The sequence below is a fragment of the Homo sapiens genome, chromosome 9, assembly GCF_000001405.40.
Source record: "Homo sapiens chromosome 9, GRCh38.p14 Primary Assembly".
In the NCBI taxonomy this organism is placed as follows: Eukaryota; Metazoa; Chordata; class Mammalia; order Primates; family Hominidae; genus Homo; species Homo sapiens.
The window spans coordinates 13971413-13998244 of record NC_000009.12 but is presented as its reverse complement, the minus strand read 5'-3'; the positions used below and the strand labels follow the sequence as shown (position 1 = coordinate 13998244).

General features: G+C 41.3%; 1 long non-coding RNA gene and 1 pseudogene across 3 annotated transcripts in view; one reads left to right on the top strand and one right to left on the bottom strand.

The window, feature by feature from the left end:
- LOC101929507 (uncharacterized) overlaps positions 1-26832 on the top strand; it is a 203870-nt gene that overhangs the window by 21848 nt on the left and 155190 nt on the right. Inside the window, exon 5 of one of the 3 annotated variants that reach the window (XR_001746622.1) lies at positions 4027-5390. The exons of the other annotated variants lie outside the window; for them this stretch is intronic. This is a non-coding gene — a long non-coding RNA (uncharacterized LOC101929507). Of the gene's footprint in view, positions 1-4026; positions 5391-26832 lie in introns of those variants that run through there. 3 annotated transcript variants of the gene reach the window in all.
- On the bottom strand, positions 10134-12126 carry PES1P2 (pescadillo ribosomal biogenesis factor 1 pseudogene 2; annotated as a pseudogene).

Sequence of the window (26832 nt, the reverse complement as noted above, 5' to 3'; positions counted from 1 at the left end):
AGAGCCTGTTATTGGTCTGTTCAGAGATTCAACTTCTTCCTGGTTTAGTCTTGGGAGAGTGTATGTGTTGAGGAATTTATCCATTTCTTCTGGATTTTCTATTTTATTTGCGTAGAGGTGTTTATAGTATTCTCTGATGGTAGTTTGTGTTTCTGTGGGATCGGTGGTGATATCCCCTTTGTCATTTTTTATTGTGTCTATTTGATTCTTCTCTCTTTTCTTCTTATTAGTCTTGCTAGAAGTCTATCAATTTTGTTGATCTTTTCAAAAAACCAGCTCCTGGATTCATTGATTTTTTGAAGGGTTTTTTGTGTCTCTATTTCCTTCAGTTCTGCTCTGATCTTAGTTATTTCTTGCCTTCTGCTAGCTTTTGAATTTGTTTGCTCTTGCTTCTCTAGTTCTTTTAATTGTGATGTTAGGGTGTGAATTTTAGATCTTTCCTGCTTTCTCTTGTGGGCATTTAGTGCTATAAATTTCCCTCTACACACTGCTTTGAATATGTCCCGGAGATTCTGGTATGTTGTGTCTTTGTTCTTGTTGGTTTCAAAGAACATCTTTATTTCTGCCTTCATTTCGTTATGTACCCAGTAGTCATTCAGGAGCAGGTTGTTCGTCTTCCATGTAGTTGAGCGGTTTTGAGTGAGTTTCTTAATCCTGACTTCTAGTTTGATTGCACTGTGGTCTGAGAGACAGTTTGTTATAATTTCTTTTCTTTTACATTTGCTGAGGAGTGCTTTACTTCCAAGTATGTGGTCAATTTTGGAATAGGTGTGGTTTGGTGCTGAAAAGAATGTATATTCTGTTGACTTGGGGTGGGGAGTTCTGTAGATGTCTATTAGGTCTGCTTGGTGCAGAGCTGAGTTCAATTCCTGGATATCCTTGTTAACTTTCTGTCTCGTTGATCTGTTTAATGTTGACAGTGGGGTGTTAAATCTCCCATTCTTATTGTGTGGGAGTCTAAGTCTCTTTGTAGGTCACTAAGGACTTGCTTTATGAATCTGGCTGCTCCTGTATTTGGTGCATATATATTTAGGACAGTTAGTTCTTCTTGTTGAATTGATCCCTTTACCATTATGTAATGGCCTTCTTTGTCTCTTTTGATCTTTGTTGGTTTAAAGTCTGTTTTATCAGAGACTAGGATTGCAACCTCTGCCTTTTTTTGTTTTCCATTTGCTTGGTAGATCTTCCTCCATCCCTTTATTTTGAGCCTATGTGTGTCTCTGCATGTGAGATGGGTTTCCTGAATACAGCACACTGATGGGTCTTGACTCTTTATCCAATTTGCCGGTCTGTGCCTTTTAATTGGAGCATTTAGCCCATTTACATTTAAGGTTAGTGTTGTTATGTGTGAATTTGATCCTGTCATTATGATGTTAGCTGGTTATTTTGCTCGTTAGTTGATGCAGTTTCTTCCTAGCCTTGATGGTCTTTACAATTTGGCATGTTTTTGCAGTTGCTGGTAGCGGTTGTTCCTTTCCATGTTTAGTGCTTCCTTCAGGAGCTCTTTTAGGGCAGGCCTGGTGGTGACAAAATCTCTCAGCATTTGCTTGTCTGTAAAGGATTTTATTTCTCCTTCACTTATGAAGCTTAGTTTGGCTGGATATGAAATTCTGGGTTGAAAATTCTTTTAAGAATGTTGAATATTGGCCCCCACTCTCTTCTGGCTTGCAGAGTTTCTGCGGAGAGATCAGCTGTTAGTCTAATGGGCTTCCCTTTGTGGGTAACCTGACCTTTTTCTCTGGCTGCTCTTAACATTTTTTCCTTCGTTTCAACTTTGGTGAATCTGACAATTATGTGTCTTGGAGTTGCTCTTCTCGAGGAGTATCTTTGTGGCGTTCTCTGTATTTCCTGAATTTGAATGTTGGCCTGCCTTGCTAGATTGGGGAAGTTCTCCTGGATAATATCCTGCAGAGTGTTTTCCAACTCGGTTCCATTCTCCCTGTCACTTTCAGGTACACCAATCAGATGTAGATTTGGTCTTTTCACATAGTCCCATATTTCTTGGAGGCTTTGTTCATTTCTTTTTATTCTTTTTTCTCTAAACTTCTCTTCACGCTTCATTTCATTCATTTCGTCTTCCATCGCTGATACCCTTTCTTCCAGTTGATCGCATCGGCTACTGAGGCTTGTGCATTCATCACATAGTTCTTGTGCCGTGGTTTTCAGCTCCATCAGGTTGTTTAAGGGCTTCTCTGCATTGGTTATTCTAGTTAGCCATTCATCTAATTTTTTTTTCCAAGTTTTTAACTTCTTTGCCATTGGTTCAAACTTCCTCCTTTAGCTTGGAGTAGTTTGATCTTCTGAGGCCTTCCTCTCTCAACTTGTCAAAGTCATTCTCCATCCAGCTTTGTTCCGTTGCTGGTGAGGAGCTGCTTTCCTTTGGAGGAGGAGAGGCACTGTGATTTTTAGATTTTCCAGTTTTTCTACTCTGTGTTTTCCCCATCTTTGTGATTTAATCTACGTTTGGTCTTTGATGATGGTGACGTACAGATGGGTTTTTGGTGTGGATGTCCTTTCTGTTTGTTAGTTTTCCTTCTAACAGTCAGGACCCTGAGCTGCAGGTCTGTTGGAGTTTACTGGAGGTCCACTCCAGACCCTGTTTGCCTGGGTATCAGCAAGAGTGGCTGCAGAACAGCGAATATTGGTGAACCGCAAATGCTGCTGCCTGATCGTTCCTCTGGAAGTTTTGTCTCAGAGGAGTACCCGGCCGTGTGAGGTGTCAGTCTGCCCATAGTGGGGGTTGCCTCCCAGTTAGGCTACTCGGGGGTCAGGAACCCACTTGAGGAGGCAGTCTGCCCATTCTCAGATCTCAAGCTGTGTGCTGGGAGAACCACTACTCTCTTCAAAGCTGTCGAAGCTGATCTTCTTGCAACTACATGAGAAGTTGCTGAAGAACTCAACGTCAGCCATTCTACAGTCATGCAGCACTTGAAGCAAATTGGGAAGGTGAAAAAACTTGATAAATGGGTGCCTTGTGAGCTGAATGAAGATTAAAAAAAATTCATCATTTTGAACTGTCATCTTCTCCTATTCTATGGAAAAACAATGAACCATTTCTCGATTGGATTGTGACATGCGACAAAAAGTGGATTTTATACAACAACCGGTGATGAGCAGCTCAGCAGTTGGACTGAGAAGAAGCTCCAAAGCACTTGTCACAGCCAAACTTGCACCAAAAAAAAAAAGGTCATGGTCACTGTTTGGTGGTCTGCTGTTGGTCTCATCCACTACAGCTTTCTGAATCTTGACAAAACCATTACATCTGAGACGTATGCTCAGCAAATTGATGAGATGCACCAAAAACTGCAGTGCCTGCACCTGGCATTGGTCAACAGAAAAGGCCCAATTCTTCTCCACAACAATGCCTGACCACACGTCGTACAACCAAGGCTTCAAAAGTGTAATGAATTGGGCTATGAAGTTTTGCTTCAACCAAATTGAAGGGACCAAATTCACCCGACCTCTCCCCAACCATCTACCACTTCTTCAAGCATCTCGACAACTTTTTGCAGAGAAAACACTTTTGCAACCAGCAGGATGCAAAAAATGCTTTCTAAGAGTTCATCCAATCCCAAAGCATGGATTTTTATGCTGCAGAAATAAACCTATTTCTTGTTGGCAAAAATGTGTTGACTGTAATTGTTCCTATTTCAATTCAAAGTTGTATTTGAGCCTAGTTATAATGATTTAAAATTCAAGGCCTGAAACCGCAATTATTTTTGCATCAACCTAACATATGCGGGTGTGTAGAAGAAAGAGTGTTGGAGTCATTTGGGTCCAGTCAACAGACTGTGCTCGGCTCAGCCTTGGCTCTGCCTCTAGATTTATGACTTTTCTCAAATTGCTTGGCTTCTCTGGAATTTACTTCTAAATTAGGACATTTGACAAAATAATCTAGAAGTTTCCCTTCAGCTTAAAAGCTTAACTTACTCTGAATAGGTCTTGAAACTGAAGTTTGGAACCAGCTAGAGTTAGAGCCCAAGAAATGTTTGTTGAATTTAATTAAATTTCTGATTTTTATTTTAGCAAAGTAAATCATTGCTTGACCCTCAGCCCACATGGGAAAACCACCCCTAACATTACAACAGCAGTAACAACAACAAACATCTACGTGAGCTTTCTACAGCCTCTGATGACTTATGTAAGTGAGTAGATGAGCTTGCTTTTTATCTGCCTGTTCCAGATGCAGATTTCACTGAACGATGATTGAAGGGGAAATTCCAAGAGAAGGCCCCTGCACAGCCCATGGCCTCCTGGAGTCTATCTCATATATCACAAAGGTGGAGAGTTAAAGAGGACACAATGGAACATCTAATGTGCTCTTTTCCTCGTGGTATTTTGATGTCTATGGGAAAAGAATTATGAGGGATTGCCCATTTAAACTAGCGCACGCCAGGTCTCTCGGGGTTGGCATTCAGTTTGGGCAGTGAAGCACATTCTCAGTTTCATGCAGCTGGCTTGGGAGTGGCAGACACATTTCCACTATTCTGGGCCTGGTTCAGAGAGGAAGATCACTGGTTACTGTCTGTGGCTGCAGTAGCTTAGGGAGCCAATGAAGACGGGGTGAGGGGCTGAGGCAGAATGCAATTCAGTGAGCTGAAAATTCACCAGAACACTAAGGCTCATATTCGAAAAAAAAGAACCATGTACAACCACTTCTGACTCCTGCAACCACTTCTGACCCTGACCTTTCATTTTCTAGATCTTAAAAAAATAAAGTAGCACCTGCGGGATGCTCAGTCTTGAGTGACTTCAATAAACCCAAGCTGTCGGCTGAAGGGCAAGAATCATATATTTGTGATTAGAATCAATGAGCAGCAAGGCTTGTACACAAACTGGCAATACTTTGATGGCAAATCCTTCCTTTTCAGATATTTTTGAAAGGCTAATTTACTTATAAATTTTAATTTCCCCCAGATTAGTGGTCATGTCAGCACTTAAAATGCTGGCAGGGGGATAAATCAGTATCATGTTTGTCTTTAAAATGGGAGACATAGGACACCTGGCCTCTGTTAATACAGGGACACTGTACAAGAGTAAACTACGGCACAATACAGTTCTTATTCTGAATTGGAATCCATCTGTACTCTACAGTGGGAAGACAAAAGGGGATTGTTAGCACTTAAGGCACCTTGACACAGTTGGACCGTTTGACTCTTTTATTAATTGCCCCATCTGCTAAGTGAGAGCTCTCTGACACAGGTTGGCGCAGAACTCTTAAAGCCCTTAGTCTGCTTCCTATTGGTTCCACATGTGTTTGTATTTGTTCTCAGTAGGCAGAGATTCCAGAGAGAAAATGAACCGCTGCAGATCGATTGCAGTATCAGTCATGCAGAAGACATGGTGAAGTGTGCCATTTGATTTTGATCTAGTTTTAACCCTTGGGAGATGGTTGCCCTGGTTCCCTTGGCTTTTGTTTGCCTGCGTTTTTGTTTGAAGGCTCAGATGCTAATAGTGGGACAGAAAAGGCAGTACAATGCCCTCATTTTAGGAAATGCAGCATTTCTCCTTTAAGTCATCCAGTCCTCAAAAATCTTTTGTCTCCATCTCGGACAGAGCAATAGAAAAACCAGAAAGCATTAATGTGGGGGAGGTGTATGTGTGTATGTGTGTGTGTGTGTGTGTGTGTGTGTTATTGCTGCTGTGAAAAGATATGCTCTGTTTATGTAGCTATTGATAATTCCCAACAAAAGTACATTGACAGTGCAGGCAGTCTGGGCCTAAAATGACAAAAGACAGACCAACCAAACTCAAGAGTTTACTTAGGCAATCATTCCCCCAGGTATGATTTGTCTTTGTCTTTTCCTTTTTATTTTGTTTTAAAGAGATTCAGTGAGATTGAGCTAAGGATGTGGTGTCTATTTAAGCCTCAGTTTTGCAATTTCCGCATTTAGCCCGGATTATGTTACAGCCAACTCATGCTGGGATATTTTTCTATGTACAATTGGGAGATAAAAGAGAGAAACAGGAAAGGTGTGGCGTCTCCTCACAAAGTTCCTTTATCATGGACTCTGGGGCTAGGGGTTTCATGGTTTTGTGTGTGTGTGTGTGTGTGTGTGTGTGTGTGAGAGAGAGAGAGAGACAGAGAGACAGAGTGACAGAGAGATAGAGTGAAAGAGATAGTGAGAGAAGTAGGAAAAGATTAAAAGTCTTGGGCCACGAAACAAAGCTCTTGCCTCTTGATGATGTTCTTTATCTTCTCACTAAGGATATCTGAGTTCTCTGTTCTGTTTTCTGAAACTCCAGGAACCTAAAACTGGAGATGATGGGGACAGGGCTGAGGCCTGGTCTCACCATACAGTGAAGAGCCTAAGGTTCAGGAATTACTTAGTACAGTGTTTTTGTCAGCTCCTGAAATCACATTTTCTGCCACATGTCCGTCTTTAAGGCTCCACACCGTGCTCTGCTGATACAAGCAAGCCTGTCTCTCTCTTGCCTGTAAAGGAACACTGATTCCCTTGGGAGTCTTGGTATTGGGGGCAATAGAAAACATAGTCCAATTGGCTTCCATAAAATGTGTTTTATGAGTTCACATAAATGTGTGGGGTAGGGGTGGAGCTGACTTTGGACATGGCTGAATTCAGTGACTCCAAATTTTCTCTGCTCTTCTAAGTCTGGCTTCATTCTCAGGCTCCATATGGTGGCATGATGGGCGAATTAATCCCCTCCAATTTCATGTCCTGGTGGAAAGAGAACATGTCTTTCTCCTAGTAGCTCAAGAAAATGTCTTAGTGGGTCTGGCTTAGATTGATTTACATGCACAACAATGAGTCAATCCCTGTGGCCAGGGGAATGAAATACTCTGTCCAGGACTAAAAGCATCCTATTCCTAAACCTGGGGTAGAAGTCAGTCTGAAGTTCATGGGTTAACGTTTGGGAGAAGGTTGTTTCTAAGAGAAAAGTCTGGGTGCTGTTATTAAAAGGAAGAGGGAGCAGAGGCTGGCCATCCAAAGAACAGTCCAAAAATTATCCACTGCAAGAGTCTTATAAGCTCAAAAGTAACAAAGTAACCTGGTCCGTTCCATAAAGTCTCTCTCTCTCTCTCTCTCTTTCTGTGTGTGTGTGTGTGTGTGTGTGTGTGTATGTGCGTGTGTGTGTGTGTATTGGCAAGGACACTGATTAAACACACTGCCTTCAGGGTCAGATATCCTGGGATCATATCCTAATTCTCGAAGTTACTAACTTTTTGAATTTTTTGTAAGTTCCTTAAAATTTTGGATTGATTTATATTTATGCTATAACAATTTAAGGTAGGGTTAACTCAGCATAATATCTAAAGAAACAAGCAATTTATTAAAAATCTCATTTGTTCTTTCTTGCCTACTCCTGCCATACATAAAAATAACATTTCATGATAATTAAACACTTGCTTATAAACAATTGATGTTTTAAACATTAACTCTTATACAACTCTCAAGATACTAGCTGTCAGCATCAGGTAGTATCTTGAGAGTTGTACAAAATTTTACTTTCCTAAGTTACCCTCTGTGTTTCAGAAGGATGAACTGCTTTTTCTTACTGATATATATTCTCTACTGTCACAGACTCTTCCTGGGAGAATAAGTTTTGCTTAAGTGTACCCAGAATGACTGTGTCTCTATGAAGGATGAGATGACTTGTCTTTTCAGTGAAAACATCTTTTGCTGCATTAAGCTTGTGCCCCACTGCAGGAATCTATTAGTCCACAAAACTTTCACCTTCCCACAAATGTTTCAACAGCTGGGATGCAAAGTCTCACTCAGAGACAAATGTGCACACCACATTTACAGTCTGAAATTCAATCTTCTAGCATCACTTGATTAGAATGAACATTAAGTGCATTGTAATTCTTTTCATTTAAATAGCAGCCAGTAAATTTATACCATAACCCATCCCCTATCCCAATAGCATGTTCAAAAAGGTTTTAGTTAATGTCATTTTAACCAGTTGACGTCTAAATATTTACTAAATTTTTCAGGTGCTCAGGGCATGTAGAGTACCCCAGTATTTACAAGGCTGTGCAAGTATACACACACACACACACACACATACACACACACACACACACAGCAAGTCATACTTTCTTTGTGGTAATTAGGAATATGTTTCTGATTATTTTCTTTAAAAAGTATTTCAAGGCCGGGCGCAGTGGCTCACGTCTGCAATCCCAGCACTTTGGGAGGCCGAGGTGGGCAGATCACAAGGTCAGGAGATTGAGATCATCCTCGCTAACATGGTGAAACCCTGTCTCCACTAAAAATACAAAAAAATTAGCCGGGCGCGGTGGCGGGCACCTGTAGTCCCAGCTGCTCAGGAGGTTGAGGCAGGAGAATGGTGTGAACCCAGGAGGCAGAGGTTGCAGTGAGCCGAGATTGTGCCACTGCACTCCAGCCTGGGCGACGGAGTGAGACTCCGTCTAATAAAAAAAAAAAAAAGTATTTCAATAGGATTCCCTCTACCTCAAGTACCATCTCCTCTGAGAGCTCATCTCTCTTAATCAATTTGCACAGTGCTTAGCATGTAGTTAAAGCTCAATAAATGTGAGCTATGTTCAACTGATTATAGTTATTATGTGACTTTAATTATTAAGCAGTACTGTTGATAATGTTAATTCTACTGGGCTCCTTAGTTTTCTAAACTGGGAACCATTATATGTGGATCTCACCCATATTTGATTTAACCACTCAGGCTATCTCACCGACCTAAAGGGATTGAACACATTATCTGCAGTAAGTTCATCTCTTTTGTGGATGTTTACAAACCTCTTTTCCTGAAAGTTCTATATACTCCAGCTAGCCTACCTTCTAATGAAATATGTATCCTTAGAAATGAACATTGCTCCCTCCAAACTCCTGCTGAGGACACTTCTGCTTTGCCCAAGTTGCTCTTTTCCTCTTTTTACAGTGAATGTATCATTGTCTAACATACCATATCATTTACTTTACTGATTATATTTATTCTTCTATTATTGGCCTCTCCCTGGCAGAATCTAAGTTCCATGAAGGCAGAAGTTTTGTGTCTTTTGTTTGTTGACTGATGTATACCAGGCATCTTGAGCACCATTTCTTTCTATCCCAAATGACACTTTTTCATTGTACAGGTTTCAGTTGTACAGGTTTATAGTGTTTCCGGGATAAGAGCAACTTTACTCCAAGTAAGAGAAGGATTGGAGTGTTGATCTTGGCCAACCTTTTTTTTATGGCCATTCTACTCATACTATGAATTTCTTCCTACTTGGCTGCATTTTGGAATGGGCAACTAGTGTGACTTGGTACTCATGGGGTTCAAACTACAGAATGAGAAGACTGCATAAATTCCCATGATTCAAGACTCCCTGATGTGTTGGTTGGCTAAGGGGAGGAGTGGGAACTGAATACATAAAAGGGAAAATACTATAGTGTTTTGAATTATCCAGGCTAAAAAGTTCTCTCATTTTTGGACATCATCTTTGTCTCCTGTACCTGGGGAGAACCAAATCCTCTGATGCTTCCTTCCCAGAATTTTCCTGCACCAATTACCAATTTATCTGCTGAGTTGAATGTGACAAAAACTCCAAAATTATGGTAGTTTCATCAAGATAATATTATAGTTCACTTTTTCACAAAAATAATGCAAAGGTAGAAGGATCGGCATGGTGGCACCGTGGGGTCATCAGGGATGCAGGCATTTTTCAACACTACTGTATCTAATGTGTGGTTCTTATCTTCCTGATCCAGGATGGTGGCAGAGGATGTGCCTTTATATCTATATTTCAGGCTGGAAGTGCTATTAAAGTACAAGGAAATGAGGCAAAAATGCTCCTGTCTAACACTGTTGCTGTGATTTAATTGCCAGAACTTAGTCTGATGGCTATTGCTATCTACAAGGGAGGTCTGGAAATGTAGCTTTTATTCCTGATGGCCCATGTCATCAGAAAATGTTGAGGTTTTTTTTTCTTTTTCTTTTTTGGCACAAAATCCAGTCATCTAATAACAAATGCTCCCCCCACCCTCACCCCATCACAGCACCGTGAGAATCATGGGTCCAACTGTGTGGCAGGGGGCTGTGGAAAGCCAGGGTGAATGGGGGCAGCAGGTAAGGGGTTGGGTGGGCCCCTGCACCTCCTGTCACTGGCTCCTGGGAGCACAGAATCAGGCTGGGCACAGAGGCCTCTTCTTTGCCTAGGCACCGGCAGGGCAGCTCCATCCAAGAGAGGCCAGGGCTGCCCTCAGAGAGCATGAGGGGTCAGGGCTGGCTGGAGAAAGGAGGAGGAGAGAAGCGACTATGTCCATCACACTTAGGTCCTCTGGCCTGCTTCTGCCACGTCCAGCTGCCAGGAGCTGGCCTCAGCCCTGTGAGGGGCCACTGGCACTCACTCCAGCCTTGCCTTCTTGGCCTTCTTCTCAGATGTCACCGCCTCATCGTGGGCTTTCCGCTTCTCTGCCAGCTTGTTGGCCTCTCGGATTTTTCGCCTCTTGCCAAACATGATCTTCTGGTACAGGTACTTCTCCCACTTCTTCATCATCATAATGGCCAGGTGCTTGGCCTCGCTCTCCTCCTCTTGGGCTAGTCACTGCTCATCCTCCACCTTCAAGGTGCCTGTCTTCCCCTTCATTCTCTGCTCCTCCAGGGCTGCCAGCTGGGCCTCTTCCTCCTTTTTTGAACCAGCCTCTGCATCTTTCTCCTCCTCCTCCTCTTCATTTTCTCCCCCTTCATCACCATCATTTTCATTGTTGTCGTCCTCTTTCTCCTCTTCTTCGGGTGCATTCAGGATTCCTGGGTCCTCTCCCTGCTGCAGAGCCAGCAGCCTCAGTTTTTCAGGTGGGATGTAATCTCCTTCCTTCTTGGTCACAAAAGGTGAAAGGTGTGGGGGCAGCTGCACCCCAGGGAAGTACTCTGCCATGAGGAGGAGAAGCCTAGCGTTCACCGAGTCAATCACCCACTGGGGCTGCATGTAGCACCTGCCAATGATGGAGGTCTGCTGCCCAGGCCAGTTGACAATCTTGTGGGTGATGCGGGAGTCCGTGATGTCATAGGTGGCCCCGATGCACAAAGACTTGTCCCAGGACACTTCCCCCCAAAAACTGATGACGAAGGCCAGGGCTTCACGGGGCACCCCTTGGTTCAGGAAGAACTTTAGGCCCTCAGAAAACTTCTTGTGCTTCTCCTGCCCCTCCAGCTCCTTCCTGCGTTCTTCCTCCTGTGCTGACATCTCCCCATTGGCAGGAAACTCATCCACCTCGGGCTCCTCCTCTGTGGCAGGCACCACCACGCGGGCCAGGCTGGCAGTGAGGGCAGCCATTTTCTCCATGGAGCTCTCAGAGTCCAATGCATGGGTGCCCTCACTGGCCTTTGCCTCTTCTTGGGCCTGACCCTCGAGCTTCAGTGGGTAGTGGAGGTTGAGCCACTGGTAGAGGTGGAAGTTGATGAAGCCCAGCAGGGTGCTGTAGAACTCGGTGAAGGTGGCCATGACCCTGTAGTCCATGTCTGTTGGGTGGTCATGGGAGAAGGCATAAGTGGTGATTCACGTGATGGGCTGTCCCAGGACCTTGACCTGGTAGTAAATGCCTTTGATGGACAGGAAGACCTTGTGGCAGGGCACTAGCAGCGATGATGTAGTGCATGAACTCCATGGTGAATGGTCTGCACATGGCCCTTGCCAGTCCGTGGGAAGGTGGAAAAGAGGAAGCACATGGAGAGGGCGTTGTCCAGGTCTCGCAGGGCATCAGTGAACGTAGGGTACCATTCCTTGATGATGCGGTCAAGTTTGTAGTTGGGCTTATTGTCCTTTAGATACTCTACAGTGTTTCCACTTGCTCTTCCTATAGGCCTTCAGGAGCTTCCGGATTAACACCTTGTATTCCCAGAACTTGTTGACAATGGGTTCATGGAGGAGAAACCTGATGTCTTCGATAAGGTAAAAAGTTTGGGCTGCTGTAGAACGTTTGTTAACCTTCTTCTTGTGTTTGGGTTCATGGGGATAAATGCGCTTCAGAATGCACAACTGCCTAAAGTCAGCCAGGCTCAGCTGGAGCTTCTTCTGGGCTTTATTCTGGGTGATGTAGTTGGTGGCTGAGCCTCGTTCATAATTCTTCTTCCCAAGGCCTCCCATGGCTCCACGTTGAGGAGCCGACTAGAGCTGCACGGACAGACAGTGCCACTTCTTCCTGACGAGGTTTTTATTACTAACAAAGAGAGAGAGAAATTAGTAGGCGGGAAGGTTGCCTTCTCAATTCAAACCACCTTTATGATACTCAGTAACTAAAACCCAAGTTGTTATAATTACTAAGTACCTCAACTTTCTTCTCTGCAAGTTTAGGATGCCAACTTCATTGTTCAGAATAGTATTCTCTTCATTTCTTTCTGTAGCTCAAATACTTTAAATAGCTCCCAATTAATAACTGGAAATTTTTCAATTTCACTAGTGGTGTCATATGATAGAAAGAATCAAGCTTAGAAAGAAACTACCATCAGAGTGAACAGGCAACCTACAGAATGTGAGAAAATTTTTGCAACCTACTCATCTGACAAAGGGCTAATATCCAGAATCCAATGAACTCAAACAAATTTACAAGAAAAAAACAACCCCATCAAAAAGTGGGCAAAGGATATGAACAGGCACTTCTCAAAAGAAGACATTTATGCAGCTAAAAAACACATGAAAAAATGCTCATCATCACTGGCCACCAGAGAAATGCAAATCAAAACCACAGTGAGATACCATCTCACACCAGTTAGAATGGTGATCATTAAAAAGTCAGGAAACAACAGGTGCTGGAGAGGATGTGGAGAAATAGGAACACTTTTACACTGTTGGTGGGACTGTAAACTAGTTCAACCATTGTGGAAGTCGGTGTGGAGATTCCTCAGGGATCTAGAACTAGAAATACCATTTGACCCAGCCATCCCATTACTAGGTGTATACCCAAAGGATTATAAATCATGCTGCTATAAAGACACATGCACACGTATGTTTATTGCAGCACTATTCACAATAGCAAAGACTTGGAACCAACCCAAATATCCAACAACGATAGACTGGATTAAGAAAATGTGGCACATATGCACCATGGAATACTATGCAGCCATAAAAAATGAAGAGTTCATGTCCTTTGTAGGGACATGGATGAAGCTGGAAACCATCATTCTCAGCAAACTATCTCAAGGACAAAAACCAAACACCGCATGTTCTCACTCATAGGTGGGAATTGAACAATGAAAACACATGGACACAGGAAGGGGAACATCACACACCGGGGAATGTTATGGGGTGGGTGGAGGGGGGAGGGATAGCATTAGGAGATATACCTAATGCTAAATGACAAGTTAATGGGTGCAGCACACCAACATGGCACATGTATACATATGTAACAAACCTGCACATTGTGCACATGTACCCTAAACTTTAAAGTATAATAATAAAAAAAAAGTCAGGAAACAACAGGTGCTGGAGAGGATGTGGAGAAATAGGAACACTTTTACACTGTTGGTGGGACTGTAAACTAGTTCAACCATTGTGGAAGACAGTGTGGTGATTCCTCAGGTATCTAGAACTAGAAATACCATTTGACCCAGCCATCCCATTACTGGGGATATACCCAAAGGATTATAAATCATGCTGCTATAAAAAAAAAAAAGAAATACCTGAAAATAAGAATGATGACTTCTCATGATCCTGGGTGTTGGCTGGGTGTTTCCTCTGCCAGTCTCACTCAGTCTGACTGATGCAGCTGCAGTTAGCTGGAGGGATGGTCAACTGGAAAATCCCAGATGGATGTAAGTGCCACTCATCTCTGGCAGTATCTGCTGGCTCTTGGCTGTAGCACTGAGGTTCTCCTTCATGTGGCCTCTCATCCTCCAGGAGTCTAGGCCAGCTGCTTTGTGCTCACAGGGCTGCTGCATTCCCAGTTGACAAAAACCTATGTTGCAAGGTGTCTTAGGTCCTAGCCTTGGCAACCATGCTACTCCTGACACATTTCTATCATAAGTCCAGTCCTGAGTCAAGGGTGGGAGACATAGTCTACATTTCTGTTTGGGATAAGAGGCAAAGCATATTGAAAAGGGGAATGCTTTCTAGGACAGGAAATTGTGACCATTTTTTGGTAATTCACACTGGTAGCTACAGGATTTTGGACAAACCACTTAACATGGCTGAAATATCAATTTCCTCATCTGGAAAATAGGGATGGTAATTACCCTGAGAGTATTTCAGAAATAGATGATGTCAGGCTTATAAAGTGCCTAGAGTAAAATGATATTTAGTCAATATTAATTCTACCCTATTCAAGGTTCTCCCAGATCCTGCCATACATCGTCCTGACTCTGTGTGGACCCTGCACTCCAGCTAATCTCTTCATAGTCCTCTGAAGCTACCACTGAGGTTCCCACTTAGTGCTTCTGCCATTCTCTTTAACTGAAATGTTTTTCCTTCCCTTCTTAGTCTAAAAAACTTTATCCATACTTTAGCATATGACGTCATTTCCTTAATCAATCTTTGCCTCCTCTGGTCACCATGATTTCTTTGTTGTCTAGATTCTAGCAGCCCTTGTAACTTATGCCACAATCTCGCTCTTTGATTATATGGGTTCCTGTGACTTTTGCATGGCCTCACGGGGTTATTTACATATTGATACTCTTTACCATTTTGACTGTGTGTCACCAACTATACTGTGAACTTCTAAAGAATGGAGAATGTAAAGAAGAATGGTGAAACAGAAAGAGACTTGAAGGATTAGTCATATGACCCCAGTTTAATCTTTAGTGCTTACTAGCTGAATAAACGTGAGCCAATCACTTAACTTTTCTGAACTTTAGTTCCAGAATCATTAAAATGATAAAATATGGAGCCTGCTTAATGTTGTTGCAAGGATCAGGTAAGGGCACAGATAGAAAAGTTTGAGTGCTGTAAAGTATCACATATATATATTTGGCCTGTTGTGGTATGTTTAATGAAAAATCATTGCATAAATATTAAATATAATAAATATAAAACACAGGAAACTAGATTTATTGAGTTCATTGGTACAGGAACATAGATCTTCTTTTAATTTACACCCCCTTCCCTCCCCAAGGAACCAGAATACCACAGTTTTGGCATCATCAATTTAATGGGTTCAGGTTGAATGACTCCATCATGTCCAATTATAATTCCAGTTCTCATTATAGTCTAGCAAGAGAGAAAACCTAAGTGGAGGTCAAATATTATTCTAAAATCTGTCTGCTGCAAAGTTTCTTTTAGAGAAAATATTCTGGAGAAGCCTAAATTTTGGTCAACTGTTTCATAAGTTGGGTGTTGTGTGGTTATGGTTGAGTTAACTTAAATACAATAGGAGAAACTTTGTTTTATATACAGCACTACATGAAGGCCTCTCATCATGGTTCAAATAGTTTAAATCCATTGGATTAGAGTGATGTTAGACTTGCAAGAATGTAACTTGTCTAGCTTCTGTGCAAAACTGTATATGCAGACCCTCAAGAGTTGCCCATATATATTAGTTTGAAGTATTTCCAGGGATAAAGAGCTATGAATTTCAGTATCTATCACATTTATGTTCGAGAAGGTTGTTTTACTGTTGAACAACAAACTCATGGCAATTTGATATATGTTTGTCTTGTTTTGTCCTAAATGGAGGTGGTGAACAGCTGGTCAATATCATTTTTATGACAATTTGAATTTGTTGATAAATTGTCCCTCAATTCTTCTTTCATCCCAGCTTTCTTAACCTTTCAAGAGAGGTCCTGTTTTACTTTCTCAAAATCATTTTTATTATTATTTTCAGGGCTCAGAGCATTCAGGCCTCAAACTAGACAGAAATCTCAAGTGACACTCAGTGTTCATAATGACATTGCTTCTTGTTTTTCTTTTGTAATACTGATTGTAATGTGTCTTAGCATTAACTATTTTATTGTTGATTGAAATTCATTTCATGGACTGTAGCATATCATTCTCTTTAAAAAAATGGCTCCATAATGTCTTTCTTTACTTATTTTAGAAGTAATACACGTTCCTTGTTTCATATAGGCATATATAAGTAAGTACACAAGAGAGAAGTAAAATTGCACACAATCCCTCTATTCATGGATAGCCCCCATTGAAGTTTTGGCTTCACAGTCTTCAGGGCTGAACAGACTAGCTTTTTCTTCTCCTCTGGCAGGGATATCCTCTTTGAGCCATGGTCTTCTGTCTCGTAAGACTTTCTGTAATCTGAGTTAGACAGCCATGGCTCTTTGAAGGGTGGAGTGACAAGGAATCATGAATTATTAAGAACAAAAAGAGGCTGGCCGTGGTGGCTCACACCTGTAATCCCAGCACTTTGCAACACTTTGGGAGGCTGAGCGGGGCAGATTGCTGGAACCCAGGAGTTCCAGACCAGCCTGGGCAACATGGCGAAACCCTGTCTCTACTGGAAATAGAAACATTAGCAGGTCATGGTGGTGCGCTGTAGCTCCAGCTGCTCAGGAGGCTGAGATGGGATGATCACTTGAGCCCGGGAGGTGGAGATTGCAGTGAGCCAAGATCATACCACTGCACTTTAGCCTGGGCCACAGAGCGAGACCCTGTCTCAAACGAAACAAACCAAAAAGTAATAAATTAGCCAGGCATGGTGGTGCATGCCTGTAGTCTCAGCTACTTAGGAGGCTGAAGTGGGAGGATCTCTTGGTCCAGGAGTTCCAGGCTGCAGTGAGCTGTGATTGCACCACTGCACTTCAGCGTGGGGGACAGAGAAAGACTCTGTCTCTAAAAAAAAAAAAGAAGATATTCTGCAAATGTGTTGGAAAACTAATATTGTCTCTACTGAGGATCACCTAAGTATTTAATTAGGATGTATGTATATACATATGTATATACATCATATACAATTCGTAGAAATGTGTCTGGGGCCACAGTAGGAGCTGAATACATGTTAACTGTTATTATTCCAGTTGCATTAGCTATTCTTTTTTTTTTTTTATTGCTTTCATTGTTGTCTTTGTCATCATCATCACTAAATGCATCCTGTAGGCTGGGCCTAGTTGAAGACCCTGGTTCATTATAGTGTCTCATTTCTCCCCAGGACCTCATGGTTTGGTAGGAGTGACAGACACATAATTTTATAAATTGCAGTCTTCAGCATATCTAAAACAAAACAAAATGAAAAACCCAAATAAATAACCCTATAAGCTCCTTAGCTTCCCTTAAATGCCAACTTCCAGGCTCAGCTAATTAGAATATATTGTTTTTTTCTCTACAATGCTTTAGCCATTTTTTACCTTCCTATAATTTATCCATTTCACATCTCATTATCTCACTCGTTATCTCATCACTCTTGAACTCTTTCATAAAAGAGAAGGTAAAGAAGTTCTTCAGGTCCTTATGTTTTAAATGTTATCTGTCATTAGCTTTTCTACTCAGTCATTTAGAAAGAAGGTGCTTGCCTTGTTTACCTACTTTTGATGGTTATAATTAAGAAATGGTCCCATAACTCTTATGGAATTTTTATTGTAGAATTTTTTTAATATGACATCAAAGCCAATAGTCAATCTTGTCAAAGCAGTAAAAAAAAAAATCAAGCTTATTTTCAACTTTAAATCACAATGTTCATTGTCATTTTTGATATGGTAGCCCCCAGATTTCCTTCTTGTGACTTGTTAGATCCCTTTTGAGAATTTTCTTCAATTTAAACCATTTCAATTCTTATAGACCTTTAAATGTTTCTACAGATTGATGGAAATGTGGCATGGTCTACTCTCTATCCTTCCTTCAATTCAATTGTGTCAGCTATTACATTGTGCAAATTAGAAAATTTCATTAATTGAGGAAAGGTCTTTATCCTAAGGGAAGCTGCTGAAGAAGCGAAATGAAATCCACATCTCTTTTCCTCTCCCTTACTCTCTCTTTCCTTTGGTGTTTGTGTGTATTTGTATGTGAATAAATAAAAGGTGGCTGATTCAAGGAATTGAGATAGGAAATTGTAGGCTGGGTGAGCAGACAGTAGATGACACTTAAATGTATTTAATTCACTTTATATTATTAATTATGTGTATGCACATACATTTAACGTCCTTTTTGGTGTCCCCCAATCTATAGCAGCTAATATCTAGACCTCATTTTGGAAATGAGAAAATGTGGCTGGAAGAAAATGATTAACTTGCCCGGGTCACACAGCTACCAAGTGGAAGACTCAAAGTCAAAACAACATTTGTCATACTCTAAAGCATGTGCTCTCTTTACTACAGAAGGGACTTTCTCCAGGAAGCAAAGCCCAGATCTTACAGAGGGTCCCATAGCTTGCATTTCCTAGTGTGGGGGCTTATGCATAGAAGGTGTTAAGAAAATGTGTATGGAATTGCTTTGAAGAAAGAATAGGGGGAAAATGTTTTAAAAGATATTCCTTGATGAAGAGTCCTGGGACTTGAGAAATCCAATACCAGGGGTGGGAAAGTCCAAGGCAATTACTTCTGCAAGTGTTGAAAACCTGTTGTGTGTTTTCTTTCTCTGCTGAAGGAGAAGGTTGTTTACATTATGGGAGATTGTTCCGGTCTGTACCAAAGAGCTTGTTAAGGGTGACAGACAGGTTTGTTGCACAAATGTGCACTCCAAATTAGATGAATGGTGAAATTATGAAGCAATCAAATGGCAAAGCTTTTAGCAGACTACAGTACATTGCCCTTTTTTGCTACCCCTAGGCCTGTTAGCATAAAAGAGGCCATAAAGATAAAGTGCACAATATTATTCAAGTCTCAGAGTTCAACAAACATGGACAGCTGGCATTTTATGGCAAGTGTAGTCAGGATTGCTTAAAACCGCTTGTCTCCCCAACACACTGAGTTAGCCCCGCTTCCTTTTCTCTTTGCCAGGACAATATTAGACAGACTAGGGCAAGTCAAAAAGAGCGAGAAATGCTGGGCGTGGTGACTCATGCCTGTAATCCCAGCACTTTGGGAGGCCTAGGCGGCCGTATCACCTGAGGTCAGGAGTTCGAGACCAGCCTGGCCAACATGGTGAAACCCTGTCTCTACTAAAACTACAAAAATCAGCCAGGTGTGGTGGTGGGCGCCTATAATCCCAGCTACTCAGAAGGCTGAGGCAGGAGAATCACTTGAACCCAGGAGGCGGAGGTTGCAGTGAACTGAGATCACGCCACTGCACTCCAGCTTGGGTGACAGTGAGACTGTCACAAACAAACAAACAAACAAACAAACAGAAAACGAAAACAAACAAAAAACCAAAACAAAAAGAGCGAGCGAGAAACAAGAACTCCTCTCCTCCCTTTCTTCACAACCCTTGAGGGGAGGGAGAAAGGTGCGCAGAAAAAACTTCACCCTAGCATGAAGAAGTGAGTGACAGAAAAGGTTTTTTAAGTCAGTCAGATTGGAGAGGCTTGTTATCCTGGGAGAAGTTGGAACTTCAAATGAAGAAAAAGAAGAAGGGGAGTGGCTCGTGCCCAAGTCTAATGTGTTCGCTGGGAAGGAGAATGGCTTCTCTGCACCAGGAAAGGGAAAGGAAAATGCCTCCTCTCACTATGCTGGTGGCTGCACATTACGGGGAGGACAGGTGGAGGGGAGGCTGTTAGCACCAGAAGGAGACCTGAGGAGTCGTTGATCCAAACCTCCCATTTTAGGGATAAGATGTACAAGGTCCAGAGATGGCAAGTGACTTGCCTGAGACTGCCCAGCTATTTTATATTCAGTTCTGTGCTGTTCTCACCACGAGCATTTTGAGTGAAGGTGGGAGGATAATTGATATGTACATAAACGTACATATTTCTTAATGGGGTACAGCTGAGGAGCCCAATATGTGAAAGAGAAAGACACAAAGCTGCTCTAGTTGAAGGTGGGAGTAGAGGTGGGTAGGAGTGTCCTGGAATCCCACCCCCTCAGTCTCTCTTTGCCCCAGTGGGTCCTAGAAGGTAGGCTCTAGAAGCCCCAGGGATCTAGGGAAAACTTAAGCACCAGAATATTTGATGGATTTTTTTTTTTCTTTTTCTGCCAATCCACTAAAAGTTATTTTTTTTTTCTTGGAATCTTCTCATCTTACCTAATGCAAACACTCTTCTTGTTATGAATGCTGCCTGAGCAGGGGCTAGTGCCACATTTAGAGAGAGGCAGCCATTGCTGACCTCGATCTGATCTTATTCTGACCTAGGAGGCATAGACACAGAGACTCTAAGAGGGGAAGTAGCGTCTAGAATGTGGCAGAGATGGGACACCATGCCGAATCTGTCTGATCCAGAGCCCATGCTTGTCTCTTCACATTTATGCTCTATCTCCAGAACACAGGATTGGTCCACAGTATTAAAAGTTGACTGTGCTGTGTCTTTGGACATTTTTCCCCTTAGGGGAAAACGATGACATTAATTAAGATGGGGTCTAATACCCTTTTCACTTTAATGTTCTGCAAGTTGATATAGTTCATGGTACAAGCTAACAATTCACTTAAAAACAAGAGAGATAGTTTTCCCCAAAATATGCATGTATGGTTTAGATGTTGACATTCTGGAGGCCATGGTCCACAGATAGTATTCTGTGCATGATTGTTCTTTTTACAGATCACTTATAATCCAAACCCATGTGGAAGATCTTTTGTTCTTTCACGATCTCTTCAAATCCTACTATCTCCCCGTCCCCAACCACCTTATAAATCTGGTCTGTGGCTGTTTGGGGTCTGTTTTATAGGGCTTATTAGGAATAACAGTTGAACGTTTCTGTGTGGAGCCAAGTCTTGGTCACGTAGGCAGTCTGCCAATTGGTAGTAGCATGGTGCATGGTTAACAGTCTAAGCCATCCCAACTGCCCCATCTGGCCAGGAGAGATGGGTGGTTCCTGATATTCCAGGACAAAGTGAATAATTCAGTCCATCATACAGATGTTTGGACCACAGAATAGCCAACTGCAGGGTAGTTAGTAATATCTGTTATTTCGTAAAGTCTCCTCCCCAACTCTATTGTCTCTGTTTCACAAATCCACATGTAGAATACGCTTTGGAATTTGATAGGCCCCATGGAAGTGTGGGAGGCCATCTCTGAATGCTGGAGTTTCAGGCCCAGTAACCTTCCCCACCCCACATAGAAGGAGAATAGAAACACCGATTACTGTGCAGCTTAGCTGTTAGATGTTTGCTTCTATGAAACAGTGATTTGTTTATAAAATGGTGTGATTTCTCCTGGAGAAAAAAAACAAAACCAAACCCAACTGCTATTTTTAGAGACATTTTTAAAATGAAAGGGCTATGATAGTAAACCCACCCAGCCAGGAAGACTATACGTGAGCTTTCCAAATCTGTCCACTAAAGTAGGAATTTGAAAGCGCCACCACAAATTGCTTTTCACTTCAACCAGGATGCTGATTATGATCCCCTGGCTCCACTCTGCTCTCCTATTACTTGCACATGAATTTAGTTACCCTGTATTTTAATTACATGTGTAGAGCAAGTTTTATGTTCTCTTCTCTGACTACTCATAAACTTCACAGAGATCACCCCAAACCATATTGTTCTTAAAATAGCCTGTGCCTCCTATCGTTGTAGCAATACCAAATGACACTTTCTTGACCCAGCCCTGTTGTATTAAGTACATTAGGCTCCTGGCAGGCATGTTCTTCCAAACCTCAGTGTAGTTTGAGTTAAGCCTGTCCCTAGTCATAGAGCTCTATGTCTAAAACATACCATTAGAGAAACATGATCGGCAACAGACATAAGTGGGATTTCGGTAGCATCCTCTGAACCCACACATTACATGTTTGAGTCAAAACCATGGGTGCCGGGGTGGTGTTTCTTTTGCTTGTTAGCTATGATAAAAAAAAAAAAAAAAAAAAGCAAGGATTTCACACGTTCCCATCCCCCAGGTATATTTTCCCTTCTGTTCTAGGCCATCATTTTGTGGCTTGAGAACCACAGGATGTACCTTTTGTAATTACGTGAGAATTTTGATTTCAGCTGACATGAAAGTCCAGCCACAATATTAAATGTCACACAAAACTTCACATTGAGAAACTCCGTATAAAGAGAACACTCTATGTTTTACAGCGAGGTTGTACTGTTACAATTACCCTTTCCCCCCTTTTTGCTCAAGATTATTTGACTGCAATGGGAAGCAATATAAATCAGTTGCTGGCCACATAATAACTACTCAAGTCTTCCTTTTGCACTCTTAAAAATACAGAAGAAGACTATCATCCCTCTAGCAGATTGTTGATAAATCAGACTCTAGCCATAATATTTCAAGTGACACAGTCATAAAATATGAGTCCTGAGTGGTTTCCTTCCTGAAATTTCACTAATTGTAACATAATTCACCAACACACTGTTTTTTTTAAAAAAAATCACATAAACAGGCCAGCTCAAAAAGTTGTTTTAATAAAGGAGTAATATCACATCCCTGTATTTTTTTAGAAAGCAAGTATTATTGACCCAGCTGAGTGTCATTTGTGGGTAAAGGGCTAAGAGTTCTTGACTCCAGGGATCTGTTGTATTTTTCTAATTCCTTGTGGCTCTCTGGGGGATGAACATAATGGTTTATACCTCAGACAACCTGGGAATCATCATGAAAGAATTCTAAACTGAAGTGAATCTTGGAATTTATCTCTATGTTATTATATAATTGGATAGGAAGAGAAGAATCCAGTGGGTACTTTTCTCTTTTGGTGTTCCTAAGGTTAGGTCATCAGTATGACTAGTTTGCAACCTCCTCCCTTTCACCCCCAAATCCATGACTTTGACAACTTGTTTAATTTTTATGTATAAGTTTGTGAAGTTTTTAGAATTCTTGGGTCTTCTATGGTAATTCTTACTTCTTTGAGAAAAAAAGGAAACTTCTTTGGGAAAAAGGGTTTCAGAATGAAAACAGATGTTATAAAATTCATGTGCTTGACAGTAATTTCTCTTTAAAATAACAATAAAATCCATAGCTCAATGTCAGAGAAGCTCATATCAGTGGTTCTGATGAAAAACGAGTATTTCTCTGATGTTGGATCATGGCAGCAGAACTGTTGATGATACTCTGCTATGAGTTGAGTTATAGTCCGTAGTTAAGTAACTGGTTATCTAGTTTTCTTTTTCTCTAAGATTTGTTGAAAAGTCTCAGTTAAGTGAGCATGAAGGTTTCTAGGTATGCATTTGAGGTATGTGGAGATTGCCCACTGTTCATAGAGTTGCAGACTAGAGACCATATGTGCAGCAAAGCGTGGACGCCTGCAGTGTCTTTGGTTGGAAATGCTGGGTCAGGGCCTAGAATTGTTCCAGAGCCTTTCCTCTTGTGGTTGCTTGGTTTCTAATTTTGGTTTCTAACTGTAGCAGCCATATTACCACAAGACCACAGCTGTAAGGTGGCATTGGGAAGAAAGGAAATAAGCCTGTCAGATCCCTCCACTTCCTGGTAGATAGATTAAATGACTCCATTATACCTTAATCGTAGGTTTTATAACTTGGAAAAGGATTCATAGGCCATGTATCTAATTTCCCCAGACTCCTCTTCATGTTGCCCATCAACCCAAACACCCACATTTCGTAGATGAGAAAATAATTCGAAGAATCAAAATTACTTGCCCAAGTTAAAACAACTAATTTTTTCTTTCTTCTTTCTTCTATTTTGACAGGAAGAAGGGGGGTCAAGAGGGGTTCATACTGAAAAGGATTGGGAGCTAGAAGATAGTTCATGTAATTTCTCAGGGCCTTGCTTTCTTTATCTGTAGCAGGAAGACTAGATAATATGTGAGATCTCTTCTAGCTCTAAGGTTCTGTGTTCTTTGTTTGGGGCCTGAGAAAATAAAACTGAATTTGGGAAGAGGAGCCAAAAAAAAAAAACAAAACAAAAAAACAAAAAAACAGCAAGAGGGACAACTGTTTTTGAAGGAAGAAATCAAGAAATCTTAATGCATGGGAATGAAGAGAAACTCAGAAATAGTACCTGAATTGAGCTTTTTATAAAGACCTGAAACTTAGGAAAAGTGAGCTTGGTTCTTTTCCTCAGAAAATTGTTAAAGTTAAAAAAAATATTAGGAAAGAACCATAGGCATAGAATAAAAACAAAATTGAATTATAAACTGACCAGTGGATAACAAGAAAGAACATTTTATAGATGCTAAGTTGAAGTACAGATAGAACTCCAGTACAGCATAATTTCCTTCTGTTCAGTATTTTCTCAAGATTTCTACTTAAAAATACTGAAAGTATAAAAAGATGTATGGCTTAATTCAGATATAATAGGTATAAACAGGTGATGGACATATCTTGGAGTTGTCATTTGAATGATGAAGAAATGTTTGATTGCTAAAGTTGTTTATAAAATTTATAAAAAGACACTGGGTACGGTGGCTCACACCTGTAATCCCAGCACTTTGGGAGCCTGAGGTGGGGTGGATTACTTGAGGTCAGGAGATTGAGACCAGCCTGGCCAACACGGTGAAACCCCATCTCTACTAAAAATACAAAAATTACCCGGGCGTGGTGGCACACACCTATAATCCCAGCAACTCGTGAGGCTGAGGCAGGAGAATCGCTTGAACTTGGGAGGTGGATGTTGCAGTGAGCCGAGATTGTGCCCCTGTACTCCAGCCTGGGTGACACAGCGAGACTCTGTCTCAAATAAAATAAAATAAAAAGAGTTGCATATGCAGTATTTTTTCATGCTGGCCAGCCTAATAGAAGTCTCCTATCCTCACTTTTGGATCTGTGTAGCCCATTGAAACAATAAAGTCAAAGAATGAAGCAGAACGTAGGAGAAGATTACTAACTCAGTGATCACCAGGAAGCTTACAACACTCCAGCTGAATTTTGACAAAATTCAAATAATCATTTTCTTTACTTATGAGATAGATTTGCCTAAACCAATTTATACCTGTTTTTCATGCTTTTTAAATGTCTGACCTAATCTTTTGATGTAAGTTCGGTACTGACATACATAACGCAAACCTCATCCCAACAGTTTTGTGGGAATGAAGATGTTGGTCATCTGTCATGGATAATGTATACTCAGATTACTTTTTAGTTACCATCACAACGATTCATTAGATAGGTACCTTTCCATTTTTGTTGATGAAGAAACCGAGGCTCAGAGAATTTACATAACTTGCTCAAGGTTACTCGGTGACTAGGGTTTTAATCAAAATGTACACGACTTCAAAATCTTTAGGATTTCCAAGTTACTCATTGGAGCTGAGAAAATCCAGAAAAGACTGTGAATCTGAGATTAACATTTTTAAGGTGCTGAAGGCATTTCCAAGCGAAACATTAACTTGTCCTTAAAGACATTTTTTAGGAAGCTATTTATAGTTGGGCACCTGAGAAACACTTTTCTCTTACTGAAATCATTTCTTCAATGGCCTCATACCAACAAAACCATGTGAAGGAATATGACCCCGTTTTCCTAGCTGGTGCTCCAGAATGTTTGAATCCATTGAATGTTACATATGTGACTATAAAAATGTTAAGAACGATGAGTAATTAAAAGCTAGAGCAGTTACTTAACCTGTGGTTAAAATCCACAACATCATCATCCTAGCAAAAACCCTTAAAAGCATAAGATAATATAAGTAGAGGAATATTTTGCAACCTGTGTGTATACTTTTTTGTTTTAAGTAAGGAAAAGGGTATTAAAAAGTACACTGCATACAAATTGCACCTTATGGCTGAGGTCTGTACTTCAATGCTCTCAAGGAGGGAACCGAGGAAATAATGCATCGGGAGGTGCTGAAATGTGACTGATCTTCAAAGGCATTTTGCTGTATGTTAGGAGGCCAAGCTCGCACTGAGATAGCTCCTCCAGTTGTTGATAAACTCAGAAAAGAGGAAGAAACAAACATATTCTCTATCTGCCTTCACAGCATGACTTAGAATCACACGTAGTTATAGCTAGAAGATCTTTTCCCTGCCAACTCCCTTGTTTTACAGATAAGGCCTGGAGAGGTAAAGCAACTTTTCCAAAGCAATACAGTTAGCTAATGGAAGAGCTGGGAGTAGAAGCCAGAACTAATGAAGCCTAAATTCAGTGTTCATTTGGATTGACGTAGCGCAAAGAAACCTTACAGGAGGAAGCTTGGGGAAGGAGTGAGAGCAGCCTGCAATTTGAAGGCCGACCTAAAACAGACGCAACTGAGCTAACAAATTTATAACAAGTTTCAGTGCAGCTAAATTAGAAGGGGCTAAGTCATTAACCTTGCAAAGAGAAATTTATAAGCATTGACTAAACTTGACCTTAAGCCAATCACGTGTTTCCACTTCCCAGTGTCCCAAGAACACATTCACAGATGAATGCACACAGGCACCGCAGCACCACTTCAGACTTCTCTCTGCAGAAATATGAGTTAGAGACACACTGCAGGAAGTATTGATGATAACATTTCCTAATAGGCCCTGTGTTTTCTTTAATAAAAAATAATTTTGGTGTAATCACTCATTGCAGAAAAAAATAATCTTAAATGATTCATAAATTAGAAGCCCTGCCCACAGATTAGAACTCTGTTACGGGTTAATTGTCTCCTGTGGCTTGAAAACACAAACCTTCTATTTTCTCAGAAGGCACTGTGGAAGACATTATTGCTGTCTCCTGATGCTCACAGAGCCCCTCTCTTCATGGGTACGTGGGAAGATTGTACTTCTTTCTCTCTCTGAAATTAGTCTTGGCTGTATGACTTGCTTCGGACAATGAAGTGAAAGAGGGAATGGGTTATGCGGCTTCTGGGCTGCCTAAGAGCCAGTGTGTATGTTTCTATTTTCACCTCTCCAGGCTGGCTGGGCCAATGGCTGCTTCACTAGTTCAGGACCCACCATCAAATTATGATGTCACAGAGCAGAGCTTCAGTCAATGTGGGATGGACATATAGTACGAGAAAGAAATAATGTTTTGTCATTTTAAGTGGCTCCAATTTTGGGATTGTTTTGATAGCATAATTTAGTTAATC